We start from the raw sequence: 16,780 nt of genomic DNA, 5'->3' as shown, positions 1-16,780 counted from the left end.
CCCTTGAAAATAGAACCAAGTTAGCTGTTCCTAAAGGTTATGGCAGTCAAGGGATGATGACATCTTAGTGGGCAATTGACCTATGCATTCAGCTTTAACCAGCATTTATTAAGTACCTCCTGTGTTCTTGGATTGTGTGGGGTACTTGGCTGTGTGGCCTTTGGCAAGTGAATTCACCTGAGCCATCACTTCCATGTGTGGAAATTCAGATAATAACTGTCCCTACCTCTTGGGTTGTTTTGAGGATTAAGTGAAATCAAATATACAAAGTCCAATGTCTTGCATGGAGTTGCTGTGGGTGCCTGATAACCAATACCTTGCTGTTATTATTATTGGGTAATAACTATTGTTACTAGTAGGTGTCTTCGCTATATGATTTCATTTAATCCTTCCAGCAGTCTTGCAAGGATTTTTCTCCCCCTTGCTTTCAACTTGACTTCATTTTCCCAAGCTGTCTCCTGTGTGAATTAAGTGCCTGGCGTTCCTGCCCCCAATTTATAGAAGAAGAAAGAAGGGCAGCTGCCAAGCAACGTGGTTCAGGTCTCAAAGAGGCAAAGAAGAGGTGCCCTGGGCTGTCCTGCCCCTGCTTCTTGCAAGGTGGGCCAGGTTGGAGATTTCTGCCCACATGGAACAAGCGGGAAACTTCTCCTCGAGGGAAAGAAATTGCTCAAAGCTGTTGGAGAGATAGCATCAGTTAAGAACCAGGATGGAAAAAGAAAGAGCTAAAAAATAATCCAAACTTCCTTTCCAAGTGGATTTATTGGGAAAGAGAAAGAAAGAGTGAAATGAAGCAAGTTCTGCCCGAACAGACATGATTTAAAGCGGCAAGGGCATATTGATAATAATATCAGCGTTTCTTGCTCTGGGGGAGGTATTTGGATTTTTCATGCTCTGCCGGTTCCCCAGGAGACAGGAACATGGAGGAAGTTGGATCTGGGGACATGTCACATCTCTTTTCTCTCACAGCCAAGAAATCTATTTATTTAATTAAATTTCCTTGGAGTTTGGTTTTTCCTTTGAGCTAATTTTCTCATCTGTTTTCCTTCTTTCTCAAGGAAAATGAGGCAGAATTTTATCAGTAGGCAGACTTTATCAATAGAAATGACAGTATTAGTAAGAATAATAGTAAAAATCATCATAAAACCCAAACAGTATCATGTCTTCTCTGATCTCCGGTTTGTGGTCAAAGTTGCAGCTGTCTTTTTAGAGGAATCGGTTGCTAACTCATAGCTTAAATTTGTTTCTCCCCACGTCTGCCTCAAGGGCTTGAGGCTTGAGGTCTGATAGAATTCTGAGAAAATCTTTTTAATCATCTGGAAATGACGCAGGCTTTCTTAGGAGATGGTATATTCTTTCTCTCTCTCCTTTTCAGTGTTCCTTTTCTATTCTAGCCTGGCTGGCTATTCTTTTAATTTAATTTAATTTTTAATAATTTCAACTTTTATTTTTTGATTCGAGGGTACATGTGCAGGTTTGTTACATTGGTATATTGTATGACACTGAGGTTTGGGATATGGATAATCCCATCACCCAGGTAGTGAGCGTAGCGCTTAATAGTTTGTTTTTCAGAGCTTGTCCCCTTCCCTCCCCCTTCTAGGAGTCCCCTGTGCCTTTTGTTCCCATCTTTATGACCATGTATACCCAATGTTTAGTTCCTACTTTTTTTTTTTTATTTTTGAGATGGAATCTCACTCTGTTTCCCGGGCTGGAGTAGCAATGGCTTGATCTTCGCTCACTGCAACCTCTGCCTCCTAGGTGCAAGCTCTTCTCCTGCCCCAGCCTCCCGAGTAGCTGGGATTACAGGCATGCACCACCATGCCTGGCTAATTTTTGTATTTTTAGTAGAGGCGGGGTTTCACCACGTTGGCCAAGCTGGTCTCGAACTCCTGACCTCAAATGATCCACCCATCTTGGCCTCCCAGAGTGCTGGGATTACAGACGTGAGCCACTGCACTCTACTTATAAGTGAGAACATGCAATATTTGATTTTCTGTTGCTGTGTTAGTTCACTTAGGATAATGCTGGCCAGCTATCTTTAGAGGAAAATAGAGGAAGACTTGCTAAGCATGAGCCTGTCTGCTTTATGCCACTTTGAAATGTGTTGAATAGTCTAATCCAGGAGCCAGTGAACTAGAGTGGGCTGCCTAGTTAAAGTTTTACTGGTACACAGTCACATCTAATCATGTATGCATTGTCTGTAGCTGCCTTTGTACCACAATGGTTGAATTGATTAGTTGCAACAGAGACCGTGTGGTCCATGAAGTCAACATCTTTACTGTCCAGTCCTTTATAGAAAATGTTTGTAGACCTCTGTCCTAGGCCTTGACTGTAGCCCTCTGTTGTTTTTCATCAGTTTCTGATGTGAGTGCTTGTAAACAAGTAGGCCCATGTACTTATTCATTCATCAAGTGTTTTGGGAACCCTTTCTTTGTGCCAAGCCCCATGTTAGGTACAAGAGATTTAGAGATGAGCACATGTACTTCTTGTCTTTAAGGTATTGTCATGATGCAATAAGATACAGAGAACTCTGTCAGCTGCAGTGGTGGCACAGAGGGTAAAACAAGCAGTGTTTTGGAGGCTGAGCATAGGAGAAGGTTAGGGAAGCCTTTAGAGTGAAGGAGATATTTGAGTTGGGTATAAAACCAGAAAGTTACCAATTGGTTGGGGGAACATGTCTGCTCAGGCATACGGAAAAACCTGTAGTGAGGCACATAGTTGTGATAAAGCGTGAGTTGGAAGTCAGCCTGGAAGAGGATTAGGGAGATGAAAAGAGGAGATGAGACTGGGGAGGGAGGTGAGAGGTTATATGGGAAGGATTCTAAGGACAGGAATGGTGACTCTTATGTCTTCATCTTCCATGGTGATTAGCTTCAAGGAGCAACTTAAGGGGTGGTGTGTGGTTGACTGAGTTCATCATACTGGAGTTACCCCAAGGTCACCCCATCCACAGGTAGCTTTGAAGCTGGCCGACCTGGACCCAGTTGGCTGTCCCAGACTCTTCAGAACCATGTCATCCTTTTGGAATTGACTCCCCACCTTCTGAGGCCAATGGGAATGTGAGCACTAGACTTCTCCAAGGCATGGTTCTTGTTTTCACAGTGGGACACAGATGGCAGTTGGGAGGCTAGCTAAGGGACAAGGACCTAGAGTCTGGTGCATCCCACAGAGGGTCTCGGAAAGTTTCAGAGGGACATCCAGGTGGTATGGATACTGGATGCCTTCTGGAAGCCTAGGGCCAGGGCTGAGGGGCCCCCGAATTAACAAGATACAGACCAGTCGGCCTTGGGTGCTGTCCACCCTTGTAACTCAGGACAGCCTGGCCGCAAGGGCAGGTCCGGGGTTTGTACATTTGCTTTCATAAAAGGGCTTAGTGATCTGTGCTTCCTTATCTGGGAATGGGGATCATTATAACACACACTTCTTAGGATTATGTTAAGTATGTAATGAGTTATAATACATAAAGCAAATACTTGATATACAGTAAGCACTCAATAAAAATGGTTTGGTAGCCATTTGTATGGCTACTAATGGTTTACTATTCAGGATAGCACGTTGCAAAGGATGTTGAGGGCTTTTACGTGCTGCCGTGTTCTGGATATTACATAACACCAGGATTCTACCTGAACTTGACTGTGGCTTTCTGTTTTTGCTAATCATAGGTTGAAACAAGTGATTATGAAGCAGGCTGTGGGATGTATCGTTTCAGGGAAGAGTTGGTATTGAGGTGACACTTCCCAAGTGTTACTGCATACCGGACACTGGGTAGGCCCTGGGGACGCAGCGGTGAACAAGTAGCACATTGTCCCATCCTCATGGAGTTTGGTGATGGCCCTGGAATCAATACAAGAAGTAGCCAGAGCCCTGGGCTGCTCTGCTCCTTGGTGTTCGAGTCTGTGAAATAGAAATGATGTGAGTCCCTGCTACATTTTTTCTCCCCAGGAGATAGGGAAGATAATATGAGATAATGGTTTGGGTGGGGATTTAAAAAGCTGAATTGTGGAAGGGTCATACATAAGAATAATGCCAGAGTGATGAGCGCAGACTCTGGAATTAGTTGGCTGAGGATTGAGAACCAGCTTTGCTGCCTACTAGCTGTGTGACCTTGTGCAAGTTACTTAACCTCTCTGTGCTTTCATCACCTTCTATGACATGAGGATACTACTACTACCTCATAGGGTTTAATGAGTCTAAACCTCATAGAATTTAATAAGTTATAGGACACTGACCTATCAAAGTGCCCAATATTTAACACTTACCTATTGTGTTATACATTGTAAGTGCTAAATAAATTATCCACAATATCAATAGCAGCAGCCAACATCATTGATCAACTATTTGAAACCAAGTTGACATTGATCAATTATTTGATCTGTGCCAGATACTTTGCATGGGTTGTCTAATTTATTCCTCACAATGACTTTATATGGTAATTATTATTATCCTGATTGAATGGATAAGAAAACTGAAGCTTAGAGTTAAGTCACAGCCAAGAGCACACAGTGAGTAAGTCTTGGAGCCAGGTTGTTTGACGCCAGTGCCTGAGATCTTAACTTCCATCCCAGCCCTGTGTAGATAAGTGATTTTAGAGGCAGGACATGTTTACCAGGTGGAGGCTCAGCTTATAGATGGGAAGGGAGAGGAAAGCCCTGCAGCTGCAAAGGGGATCTGGCTGCATTTGGTTTAATGTCTCAGAAGATCACCCAAGTCCAGTCTTTCTTCCTCAGACTTCCAGGAGCAGGTACACCTTCTTTTTTCCTTTCAAAAAGGCAGACTTCATTCTCTTTTTCCTCCTCCTCTTCAGTTTTTACCATGGCTTTTTGAAGTCAGGAGCAGAGCTCAGAAATCCCAAGAACACATCTATAAAAGAGAGCTACTGCCCACGATGATTATGCCTTTTTTTTTTTTTTTTTTGAGACAGGGTCTCACTGTGTCGGCCAGGCTGGAGTGTGGTGGTGTGATCTCAGCTCACTAGCTGAGACTACAGGCACGTGCCTCTATGCCCGGCTAATTTTTTTGTATTTTTTGTAGAGATGGGGTTCACCATGTTACCCAGGCTGGTCTTGAACTCCTGAGCTCAAAGCGATCTGCCCACCTTGGCCTCCCAAATTGCTGGGATTACAGGCATGAGCCACTGCGCCCAGCTGTCCATGATGTTGAAACAAAAAGTGCAGGAAAACCGGAGCCCTCATCCTTGAATCAGTTCTGTCTCTCTCGGCGTGTGTGTGTGTGTGTGTGTGTGCATGTGTGTATATTTTTAAAAAGATCTTGCTAAATGCTAATACCTGCATCTGCTAATGTCAGGCAGTGCTTCACAGAGGTCACCCTTCACACTTCATGTGTCTCTTGCTTGTCATTCTCTGAATATTTTGAGAGTGGAAGCTTGACCCTCTCTCTAAGAAGCAGTGTATTTTAAATGGTTTTTTTTTGTTTGTTCTCCTATTAGTGTGTTTTTTCCCCTTAGTCTTCAAAAAGATCTTTTTTTCCTCCTTCCCAGTGCCCAGTAGCCTGACCCTGCCTTGCTTATCAAAGACAGTATAACAGGAACAGCTAACGTCAACCCCCAGGAACAGGACGTTGCCACAGCTCTGGCTGAGGCTGCACAGCAGGACTGCTGTGGGCTTTGCAAAGAGAGAATTTAAGTCCTTTAGCACCTGGGAGGGTGTACATCTTCTTTGCAAGCCTTTGTAGGCTTTGACAGATGGTGGCTGAGCAGAGGTGGATCCAGAGAGGTCAAGGTGGTAATTTTCCTGAACATGGATCAGAAGGAAGTGGGGTGAATTCATTCATTCATTCATTCATTCTTCCTCCATCTCATTCTCTTCTGTTTCTATCCATCTCCCCTTTGCTCTTTCCTTCCTTCCATCCATACACCCACCCATTCATGCATTTATCCATCCATTCATCCATCCATCCATCCATCCCTCCATGCATCCATCCATCCACCCACCCATCCACCCACCTGTTCACCCACCTACCCACCCACCCATCCACCCACCTGTTCACCCGTCTACCCACCCACCCATCCACCCATCCACCCATCCACGCATCTATGCATGCATGCATGCATCTGTCCGTCCATCAACCCACCCACCCATTTATCCACCTACCCATCCATCCATCTATCCATTCTTCCATCTGTCCATTCCTCCATCTAATATATAGACACTGAGCCCCTTCTATATCCCAGGCACTCTGCTGAGTGCTAGAGATTTAGAAATGATGAGCAAAGCTCCTGCCTTTGTGGACTGAACCATCTAACAAGGGAGACAGACAATAAACCATTCAGCGAAACAATGAGATGATTTGAGAATCTGACAAATACTGTGAAGAAAATAGTGAGGGAGCCATGTTAGCTAGCTAGGGTAGTTAGGGAAGGTCTTCCTGACAAAGTAATATTGAACTGAGATCTGAAGACTGCAAAGGAGAGAAGGGATGGCAGAAAGAGTGCTCAAGACAGAGGGAATGGTTACATGAAGAAGGAAAGTATTTTTTGCTTGGAAAACTAACCAGAGTTCTCCATGGCTGGAACCACTACATTTATGCCCCGACCCATGCACCTATCCATCCCTGCACACATTTACCCAGCCATGCCCCCAACCATGCATCCCTCCATCCATCCATCCGCGTACCTACCAATCTTCCATGCACACACCCATCCACGGACCCACACATATGATCCATGCACCCATCTTATGTCCATCTGTGTACCCATCAATCATCCATTGACAACCTAATATGTGTCAGGCACTTTGTTTTGTTTCGTTTTGAGATGGAGTCTTGCTGTCACCCAGGCTGGAGTGCAGTGGCGCAATGTTGGCTCACTACAGCCTCCACCTCCTGGGGTTTAAGCGGTTCTCCTGTCCAGTCTCCTGAGTAGCTGGGACTACAGGTGTGTGCCACTATGCCTGGCTAATTTTTTTGTATTTTTACTAGAGACAGGGTTTCGCTATGTTGGCCAGGCTGGTCTCAGACTCCTGACCTCAAGTGATCCACCCACCTCAGCCTCCCAAAGTGCTAGGATTACAGCCATGAGCCACTGCTCCCAGCTTTGTCAGGTACTTTGTTTAATTTTTTTTTTTTTTTTTTTTTGAGATAGAGTCTCGCTCTGTCGCCCAGGCTGAAGTGCAGTGGCGTGATCTTGGCTCACTGCAAGCGCCGCCTCCCGGGTTCATGCCATTCTCCTGCCTCAGCCTCCCGAGTAGCTGGGACTACAGGCGCCTGCCACCACACCCAGCTAATGTTTTTGTATTTTTAGTGGAGACAGGGTTTCACTGTGTTAGCCAGGATGGTCTCGATCTCCTGACCTCGTGATCCGCCCGCCTCGGCCTCCCAAAGTGCTGGGATTACAGGTATGAGCCACCGCGCCCGGCCTAAAATTTTTTTAAAATAATTTTTTATTAATGCATAATAAGTGTACATAATTTCAGGGTACATGTGACAATTTAATACATTCATATAATTTGTAAAGATCAAAAAGTGTAGGAATATCCATCACCTTAAATATTTGTCTTTTCTTTATGCTAGAAACATTTGAATTATTCTCTTGTTGCTATTTTGAAATGTATGATAGATTCTTGTAACCTATAGTCACACTACTGATCTGTTGAATACTAGGTCTTATTTTTTTCTATCAAATCGAATATTTGTACCCATTAATCCAACTTGTCGTCATACCCCCTCCCCCTCCCCCTGCCCCTTCCTAGCCTCTGGCAACCACCAGTCTACTCTCTATCTTCATGAGACCCACTTTTTTAGCTGTTTCATAGGAGTAAGAATATGTGATGTTTGTCTTTCTGTGCTTGGCCTATTTCACTGAACAAAATGACCTCCAGTTCCATCCGTGTTGCTGCAGATGACAGGATTTCATTCCTTTTTATGGCTGAATAATATTCCATTGTGTATATATACCACATTTTCTTTACCTATTCATCCATTGATGGGTACTTAGGTTGTGTCCATATTTTGGCTACTGTGAATCATGTTGCAATAAACCTGGGGTTGCAGGCAGCCCTTTGATATACTGACTTCCTTTCTTTTGGGTGTATACCCAGCAGTGGAATTGCTAGATCAGATGGTGATTTTATTTTTAGTTTCTTGGGGAAACTCCATACTCTTCTCCAGAGTGGCTGTCCTAATTATATGTCAGGCACTTTTGGATATCAAGGTGAATCAGAGAGACATCTCTCTTCTCTTACTTGATCTCCTATCAGTATGTGCAAGGAGACCACTGACCACTTCTCCCTTTTGGAAATGATATCTTCTCTTGGTTTCCAAGAAAGCACACTCTCCTGGTCTTCCTCCTACCTCTTTGTCCACTCATTAGCTGTATCACCTGCACCTTTAACTTAGCATCATGCCTAAAACTGAACTGCTCCTCTTTTCCCTGCAGTTGCCCTTCCACCTGATGTTTTTTTCTTCTTAGTAAATGGTAGCACCATCTCTCTAGATGTTTAAGTTGGAACTCTGGGAGCCTCCTGATTCCAGCCCGACCCTCACTCCTCAAATGCTATATGCACTCAACTCACGTTCATTTTGTCTTCAAATTGTATCTCAAATCTGCCTAGTTCTCATGACTACCACCCCAAGCTTTTGCCTGGATGACTGTAGCAGCCTCCTGTCTGGCCTCCTTGCATCCATTCTTGCTCCCCTTCAGTGTCTTCTGGACTTGGAACCAGATTCATCTCTTAAAATCCCAAAGCAAATCGTGTGACTCTTGCTGGAGACCCTCCATCTACAAGACCCAGTCCACTCCTTCCTACCTCGGCAGCCACGTTTCCTTCTATTTTCTCTCTTACTCCACACCCTCCAGCCACACTTTTTTTTTTTTTGAGTTCCTTGAATGCCATTCTCACTTCAGGACCTTTGCATATATTGTAGCCTCTGTCTGGAACATTCTTTTCTTTTTCCCTAGCTGATTCTGATTGGACGTTCATATTCTGGCTTAAATGTATTTTTCTTTGGAAAGCCTTTCTGTCCCCTGGCCCAAAATAGCACTTCTCTGTTTTCTCTTGGGATAACCCTTTTCTTTTTCTTGGTAGTACATGTCCCAGTTTTTAATCACACACAGACGGTCCCTGACTGTCAACTTAGGATTTTTCTACTTCATGATGGTGTGAAGGCAATACACATCCAGGAGACAATGTCCTTGAAATTGTGAATCTTGATCTTTTCCCGGGCTAGCAATATGCAGCATGGTACTACTCTCTCATGATCCTGAGCCAAATCATTTAACACAAACCCCATTGTATAGTCAAGTGTTGAATATCTCATGTATTTTCTTTTCTCTACCTTACTTTATTGTAGGAATACATATATTCATAACATATAAAATATGTGTTAACTGACTTCATATTATCAGTAAGGCTTCCAGTCAATGGAAAGTGTTCTGAGCACATTTAAGGTAGGCTAGGTTGAGCTATGATGTGTGGTAGGTTGGCTGTATTAAATGCACTTTTAACTTAGGGTATTTTCAACTTATGATTTGTTTTTCTGGACGTAACCCCTTTGTAGGCTGAGGAGCATCTGCATTTATTTGTGTGTTTATTTAACATCTGTGTCATAATGTTACAGGAAAGGGGTCTGGGTCCAGACCCCAAGAGAGGGTTCACGCATCTCGTGCAAGAAAGAATTCAGGGCGAGTCCGTAGAGTAAAGTGAAAGGAAGTTTATTAAGAAAGTAGAGAAATAAAAGAATGGCTACTCCATAGACAGAGCAGCCCCAAGGGCTGCTGGTTGCCCATTTTTATGGTTATTTCTTGATGATATGCTAAACAAGGGGTGGATTATTCATGCCTCCCCTTTTTAGATCATATAGGGTAACTTTCTGATGTTGCCATGGCATTTGTAAACTGTGATGGAGCTAATGGGAGTGTAGCAGTGAGGACGACCAGAGGTCACTCTCATTGCTATCTTGGTTTTGGTGAGTTTTAGCCGGCTTCTTTACTGCAACCTGTTTTATCAGGAAGATCTTTATGAGCCGTATTTCTTGCCAACCTCCCATCCCATCCTGTGACTTAGAATGCCTGTGTCTGGGAATGCAGCCCAGTAGGTTTCAGCCTCATTTTACCCAACTTCTGTTCAAGATGGAGTTGCTCTAGGTCAAACGCCTCTGACAATAATACTTCAGACTCCTTGAGACCAAAGACCATGTTCTTTTGTTCAGCGCTATGTCCCTATTGTCTCTCCCAGAGCCTGGCTTCCAATTCATATTTGTTAAAATAAAATGAAATGTTATCAGGCAGCTTAGATCTCATAAAGATATTATATGTCCACATAAAAAGTACAGTTGGCCTTTGAACAACACAGGGGTTAGGAACACCAACTCCTCACACAGTTGAAAATCCACATATAACCTTTGATTTCCCCCAAAACTTTACTAATGGCCTACCATTGACTGGAAGCCTTACTGATAATATGAAGTCAGTTAACACATATTTTGTATGTTATGAATATACGTATTCCTACAATAAAGTACGGTAGAGAAAAGAAAATGTTATTAAGAAAATCATAAGGAAGAGAAAATATATTTACTGTTCATTAAGTGGAAGTAGATCATCATAAAGGTCTTCATCCTCATGCTCAGTAGGTTGAAGAGGAGGAGGAAGAGGAGGGGTTGGTTTAGCCATCTCAGTGGTGGCAGAGTCAGAAGAAAATCCACATATAAGTAGACCCATGCAGTTAAAACCTGTGTTGTTCTAGGATCAACTATACTAGGTGGGAAGTTCTATTAAAAATAATTCAGACGATAATAGTATCTAACATGGATTAATCATTCTATGCCAGGCATTGTGCTAAGTGTCTTATAGGCATTATCTCATTTAATCCTCCCAACAGCATTATGAACTAGGTGCTATGACTGTGTCTATTTTACAGATGCAGAAACTGAGGCTCAGATAGGCTGTCATTTGCCCAGAGTCTCACAGAGAAGGAGTGGCAGAGGATCTGAACCTAGACCTGTCTGGTTCTCAAGTTTTTACCCCTTAACCTTGACTCTTTAGGGCCTTAATGTAACAAAACCTCAGAAACAGAGACTCAGTAACATGGCTCTTTCGGAGGTCTTGCCTGAGAACTTGAAAGTTCTCTTGCTTTGAGACAGGGAGTAGAGCAGATGGACCACATGTAGGCTTCTAATACTGGTGTCTTTTGAAAGGTCCTGAATTGCTGGTAGCACCTGGATTTTTTTTTTTTCACACTGACTCTGACTGCTGCCAGGTTTTATGGCATATCTGAGGTCATTGTAAGTTGATGAACCTCTGGGTTGTAGGGGAAGGAGGGAGGTTCTTTGTCTTTGTTGTTGGGTGATGTTGGGTGGTGTTGGGTCGGAAGATGACCTCGGCACCTGCCCGAAGTCTTCCTATTTCTTCCTTTTCCTCCTTCCCCAGGGTCTGGAGCCAGAGCCTGGTTTTCAAATTGCAAGACAACGATCTGATTTAGTGATTTATCCGATTAGGCTTAAATGTATTTATTACATGCTTAAACATATTCCAGTGAGCTCTGAAAACGATCCGCAGGTCTGTCCTGGGCTGAATTTCCGGGACCCACTGGAGCAAGTTCAAGAAAAGCATAATCTACTTAGAGGAAAACAGAACCAGACCCTAATCCAATCAGCATCTGCGTTAGGCAGAACATCCCCCGCCTCCTGTCAATAACCTCAGTGCCCCCAAACCTTTATCTGGAGTTTAGAAGAGATCGCAGGGAGGTAATCTTCAGGGGGTCCAAGGTCACCTAGACTTTAACGCTCCTCTGATTTCTCCCTCTCATAGAGCTGGGTAGGGGGGAACCCTTAGCTGTCTTCTAGTTATTGTTTTAAAGTAACATTTCTCTTTTTGATATTAAAATGGTTTTTGTTTGTGAAAATTTTGAAAAATGAAGAAATATGTAAAAAAAGAAAACCAAATCACCCATAATCTTGCTCATATTCGCATTTTCCGGTGAGTCTTTTCAATATTTAAAAATGCTTTCAAAATTACCCAAGTAAAGGGATTACATTTTAATTATAAAACCTTTTAGGCTTTTTTCCTATGCATTTTTAACAAAGCAGAAATGGTATCAAATTATATTGATTATCTGATGCCCTTTCTCCTTCCCTTCTTTTTTTTTGGAGGGCCATGTCATTAATTTTTGAAAATATCACGCTTAATAGCTATACCCTGTTTCCTTCCTGTGAACAGGGGGAATTTGCATAAGTATTGGGTTTTGGTTATATTATGCTTTTTGGTTTTTCTTTTTGCTATTGTTTTTTGAACGAGTGATTATTTTTGCTATTATTGACACTACTACTCTGAATATTTTTGTATTACCTATTCTCATTCCACTTCTTTTGAACGTGAGATTTTTTTTGACAGCTTAACTGAGATATAATCAACATTTAATCAGCTGCCCAGATTTATAGTATGCAATTTGATGAGCTTTGACATATGTAGATACCCAGGAAACCATCACCATAAATCAAAAGAGTGAACATGGCTTTTACCCCCACTGTGCCCTCCAGCATCCTTGTTCTGTGTGTTGAAATAACCTCACCAGGTCTAGGAGGCTCTCAGCAACTCTGGATCCCTGAGGCACCTACGACGCCCTCTAGGGCATGCCCTCACTTAGAAGATGCCGTAGTAGATGTTTGCTGGATGAAAGAATGCAACTAAACTCTGCTGGGTGTGTAGATACCTAGCTGGTGTACACCTGCAGTGACGGGGAACTTCCTCCCAAATAACTCAGTCCCCTTCCACAGCTAGCTTGTTCTGGGTGGTCAATCCTTGAATGAGCTCAAACTGGCCTTATTCCCCTGAGCCTGATGCTACATATTTTGGCCACAGTGAGGGGGCGGTACAGACCTAGCCCCTGATCTCATAGAGCTCATGGTTTCTTGGTGGGGATGGACATTGAACAACTAATGATGTAAATCATGACTGAACCCCAGGGTGAGCAATGCTCTGGAAAAAAGGGGTATAAGAGCTATAAAAACTTGTGGTGGGGAGCTGGTGTTTTGGGGGCTGCCCTGGTCAGCAAAGGCCTCCATGTCATGCTTCATGATAGCCTTTTATGTCTCTTTGTCATTTTCTCTTCCCTGGTCTAAACATTATGAGTTGCTTTGGCCACGTCTCCATTGGGCAGGATTTTCAGATTCTTCATCTCCTGCCTGCTCTTTTGTCATCCTTGCACCTGCAGCTGGGGAACACTAAGATCCCTGTCTCCAAGGACATTTGCCTAATCATGCAGCCAATGACAGCAGGCGTTCCTCCTCCTCTAGCCACAGAACGTTTTCAGCAGGATCAAAGGCTGGCTTAGAAACGACAATAACCACAATGAAAACACTGCCACCCATGAACATTTATCACATGCTTCTCAGGTGGCATGCCCTGCACTAAGCACTTGCTATGGGCTCATTCACTGCGTTCTCCCAGCCACAATATGAGCTCAAACCTCTGAGCCAACCTTTTACCCATAGGCTGTGCTGTGAGTCGTTTGTGTCTCTTAGCTCCCTTCTTTCTCATAGCAACCTTGCCATTTTTATTCTTCTCACTTTACAGATGAGGAAGTTGAGGGAGAGAGGTTAAGCCATGTGCCCTAGGGCACACAACGTGCCCTAGGCCACACAAACCCTCAGAGTCCTTGGTTGTAGCCTCTGAGCACATACTGTCTCTGCTAAGGTTCCCATTTCCCAGGTGAGGGGATTAAGGATCGGTGATCAGTGGGGTAGGAAATCTTCCAAGGGCCAAATGGTGACATTAGGATTTGGCCCTAGCAGTGTGACCCCAGAGATTGCCCATTGATCCCTATTCTACTCTCTACCTCTGATTTGAGGGACATATTGGATAAACCATTGGAACTTTTTTTTTTTTATTTTTTTGAAACAGAGTCTCGCTCTGTTACCCAGACTGGAGTGGAGTGGTGTGATCTTGGCTCACTGCAACCTCTGTCTCCTGGGTTCAAGTGATTCTCCTGCCTCAGTCTCCCAAGTAGCTGGGATTACAGGCATGCACCACCACGCCTGGCTAATTTTTGTATTTTTAGTGTAGACGGGGTTTTACTGTGTTGGCCCGCCTTGTCTTGAACTCCTGACCTCAAGTGATCCACCTGCCTCGGCCTCCCAAAGTGCTGGGATTACAGGTGTGAGCCACCGCGCCCAGCCTGGAACATCTTGAAGAAAGGGATTTGGATGGAGGAGATCCCAGCCCCTGTGGGGAAAAGGAATCTCTCTTTATCCATTGTCATAGCCTCCTGAGGTATAATTCAGGTCTTGTGTATAGCATGTTTTTAATCAATGTTGGCACACAAATATGGGGACAGGGATTGGGGCCATTGATAGCAAGAGTTAATAATATTATATTATTAGTATATATAAATAGTATTATCAGGTAATATTATCATGAGGTCAGATCCTGGAGCAGGGTCCTTTCTTTAAAGAGGGGTGAGCTGGCTGTGGGAAGGTAACTTGTTACCAGCCGAAATGTGTGATCTGGAGTAAGTGTCCTGCCAACCTTTTCCTTTTCTCTTTATTTATTGAGTCATTAATTAGAGCCGTCTAATTTCCCGTGCTGTTTTTACTTGGGAACATCGGTGTGGGTGGGGGGCGGTTATTGAGAGAGAGAGAAAGAGAGAGAGAACAAATCATTATCTCTTATGACACACTCAGAGTCTAATGAAGTTTTGCTAGAATGGTTTTGAAATTCAGATGCAAATAGACAGTAGGTCTTAAGGGACTGCTCTTTGTCAGCAAACTTTATTTTCCGGAGGAAGACAGACCTTCACGGAAAGGCTGTAACAGTCCTTAAATGGCTTATTGAAACTTTTTCATGAATAAGAGTTGAAGTTGATTGAAAACTGTGTTCTGGGATTTCTGGAAAGATTTGGCAAAAGGATATTCCCCTCCCCTGGCCTGGTCATTGCAAACAGAAATGCAGCCATCCAGCTGTTCATCTTTCCATTGGTTTCCTTGGAAAGCCAAATGGAAAGAAGAAGCCAATGGAAAGATGAACAGCCAGATGGATGTGCTGCCTTGTGTAATGGAATCACATGGGAATCCATCCAAACAGCACTGGGTTGGAATTTCAGCTCTTTGCCACTTATGAGCTAATGAACTATGGGCAGACCCACTTTAGTTCTGGAAGCCTTGTTGCCTTATCTGCAAAATGGGGGTGATGATCGTTCTTTGCCACAGGATGGTTGTGTGAATTAACCAAAATAATGCCCTGCCTTCTAGTAAACACTCAGTGGACGCAGCTGTTAGCCTGGGTCAGTTTCTGTGCTGTGCACTGAGGATCCAAGGATGACCATGCCCTTAAGGATGACACGGGTTTCTAGAGGAAAGTGATGTGGAAATTAATTAGTATGATGAAGATTTGTACCTGCTAGGGTCCAGGGTCTGTGCCCTCAGCCATCATGGCCTTCCTAGGGTTCTATGATGACTAAGAAAAGACAAAGCCAGGTCACAGACACTTGTAAAATATTATTGCAACAAACCACTCCAAACTTTGTGGTGTTAAACAGTAACCTTTTTCTTATGCTGTGGAATCTATGGATCAGCAATTGGGACAGGACACAGAGGGGATAGTTTGTCTCTGCACCATGATAGCTGGGTGCTGCAATCATCTAAAAGCTCACCCATTCACATGGCTGGAGGTTGATGCTGGTTACTGGCTAAAGCCTCAGCTGGGGCCGTCTGCAGAACTCCAGGTGGCTGCTTGGGCTTCCTCACAGCATGGTGGTTGGGCTCCAACAGTGTGTGATCCAACAGAACCTGGAGGAGGTGCATGGCATTTTTATAATTTAGCCTGGTAAGTCATATAATGTCATTCCCACCATTCTTTATTGGTTGAAGGAGTCACAAACTCCTGCCCAAGATCAAGGGGTGGCCTTCCCTGACTTCTTGGTTTACAATTGCAACCTTGCCCTCTTCTCACCTCCCCAACACACACACACACACACACACACACACACACACACACACACACACACACTTTATTTTTTTTTTTTGAGACAGAGTTTTGCTCTGTTGTCCAGGCTGGAGTGAAGTGGCACCATCTTGGCTCACTGCAACCTCTGCCTCCCAGGTTCAAGCAATTCTCCTGCCTCAGCCTCCCGAGTAGCTGGGATTACAGGCCTATGCCACCATGCCTGGCTAATTTTTGTATATTTAGTAGAGACGGGGTTTCACCATGTTGGCCAGGCTGGTCTTGAACTCTTGACCTTGTGATTCACCTGCCTCTGCCTCCCAAAGTGCTGGGATTATAGGCCTGAGCCACTGCGTCTGCGCCCCCCACACACACACTTTCTATACCCTTCCCACCATACTTTTTCATAGTACTTACTTTTTTTTCATGCACTCTTTAGCATATATACTGTTTACTTAATACTCACATTCTTGGTCTAGAAGCTCTGTGAAGATAATGATTTTGTCTATTTGATTTGCTACTGTATCCTGAGCATCTAGCAAAATGCCTAGTACATAGTAGTACTTGGTAACATTAATAATAAATGAATATTTATAAATGTTTTATTATGTACACGGTAGAGTGCTATACACACTATTCTGCATGTTGCTTTTTTTTCTTATACATGTATCACGGAGACTGTTCCATATCAAGACATATAGAGTGGTCTTGATCTTTTTCATGGCTTCCTAGTATTTAATTGTGTAATGATCCCTAATTGTGTAATGATCCAACTGGTCTCCCATTGATGGGCATTGAGGTCGATTGCAATCTTTTGCTGTTACAAACACAGCTTCAGCAATATCTTTTTATGCTTATGATTTCACATGTGTGAAATATAGAATTGTAATT

The 16,780-nt window shown here is 43.5% G+C and overlaps 1 protein-coding gene across 7 annotated transcripts in view; it reads left to right on the top strand.

Moving 5' to 3' along the window:
• Positions 1-16,780, top strand: part of KSR2 (kinase suppressor of ras 2) — a 515,979-nt gene that overhangs the window by 137,045 nt on the left and 362,154 nt on the right. The window lies entirely within an intron of this gene.

Source organism: Homo sapiens, chromosome 12 (assembly GCF_000001405.40).
Source record: "Homo sapiens chromosome 12, GRCh38.p14 Primary Assembly".
Lineage (NCBI taxonomy): Eukaryota > Metazoa > Chordata > Mammalia > Primates > Hominidae > Homo > Homo sapiens.
Note: the sequence above shows the minus strand (reverse complement) of the source record. Positions and strands in the feature narration are given on the sequence as shown.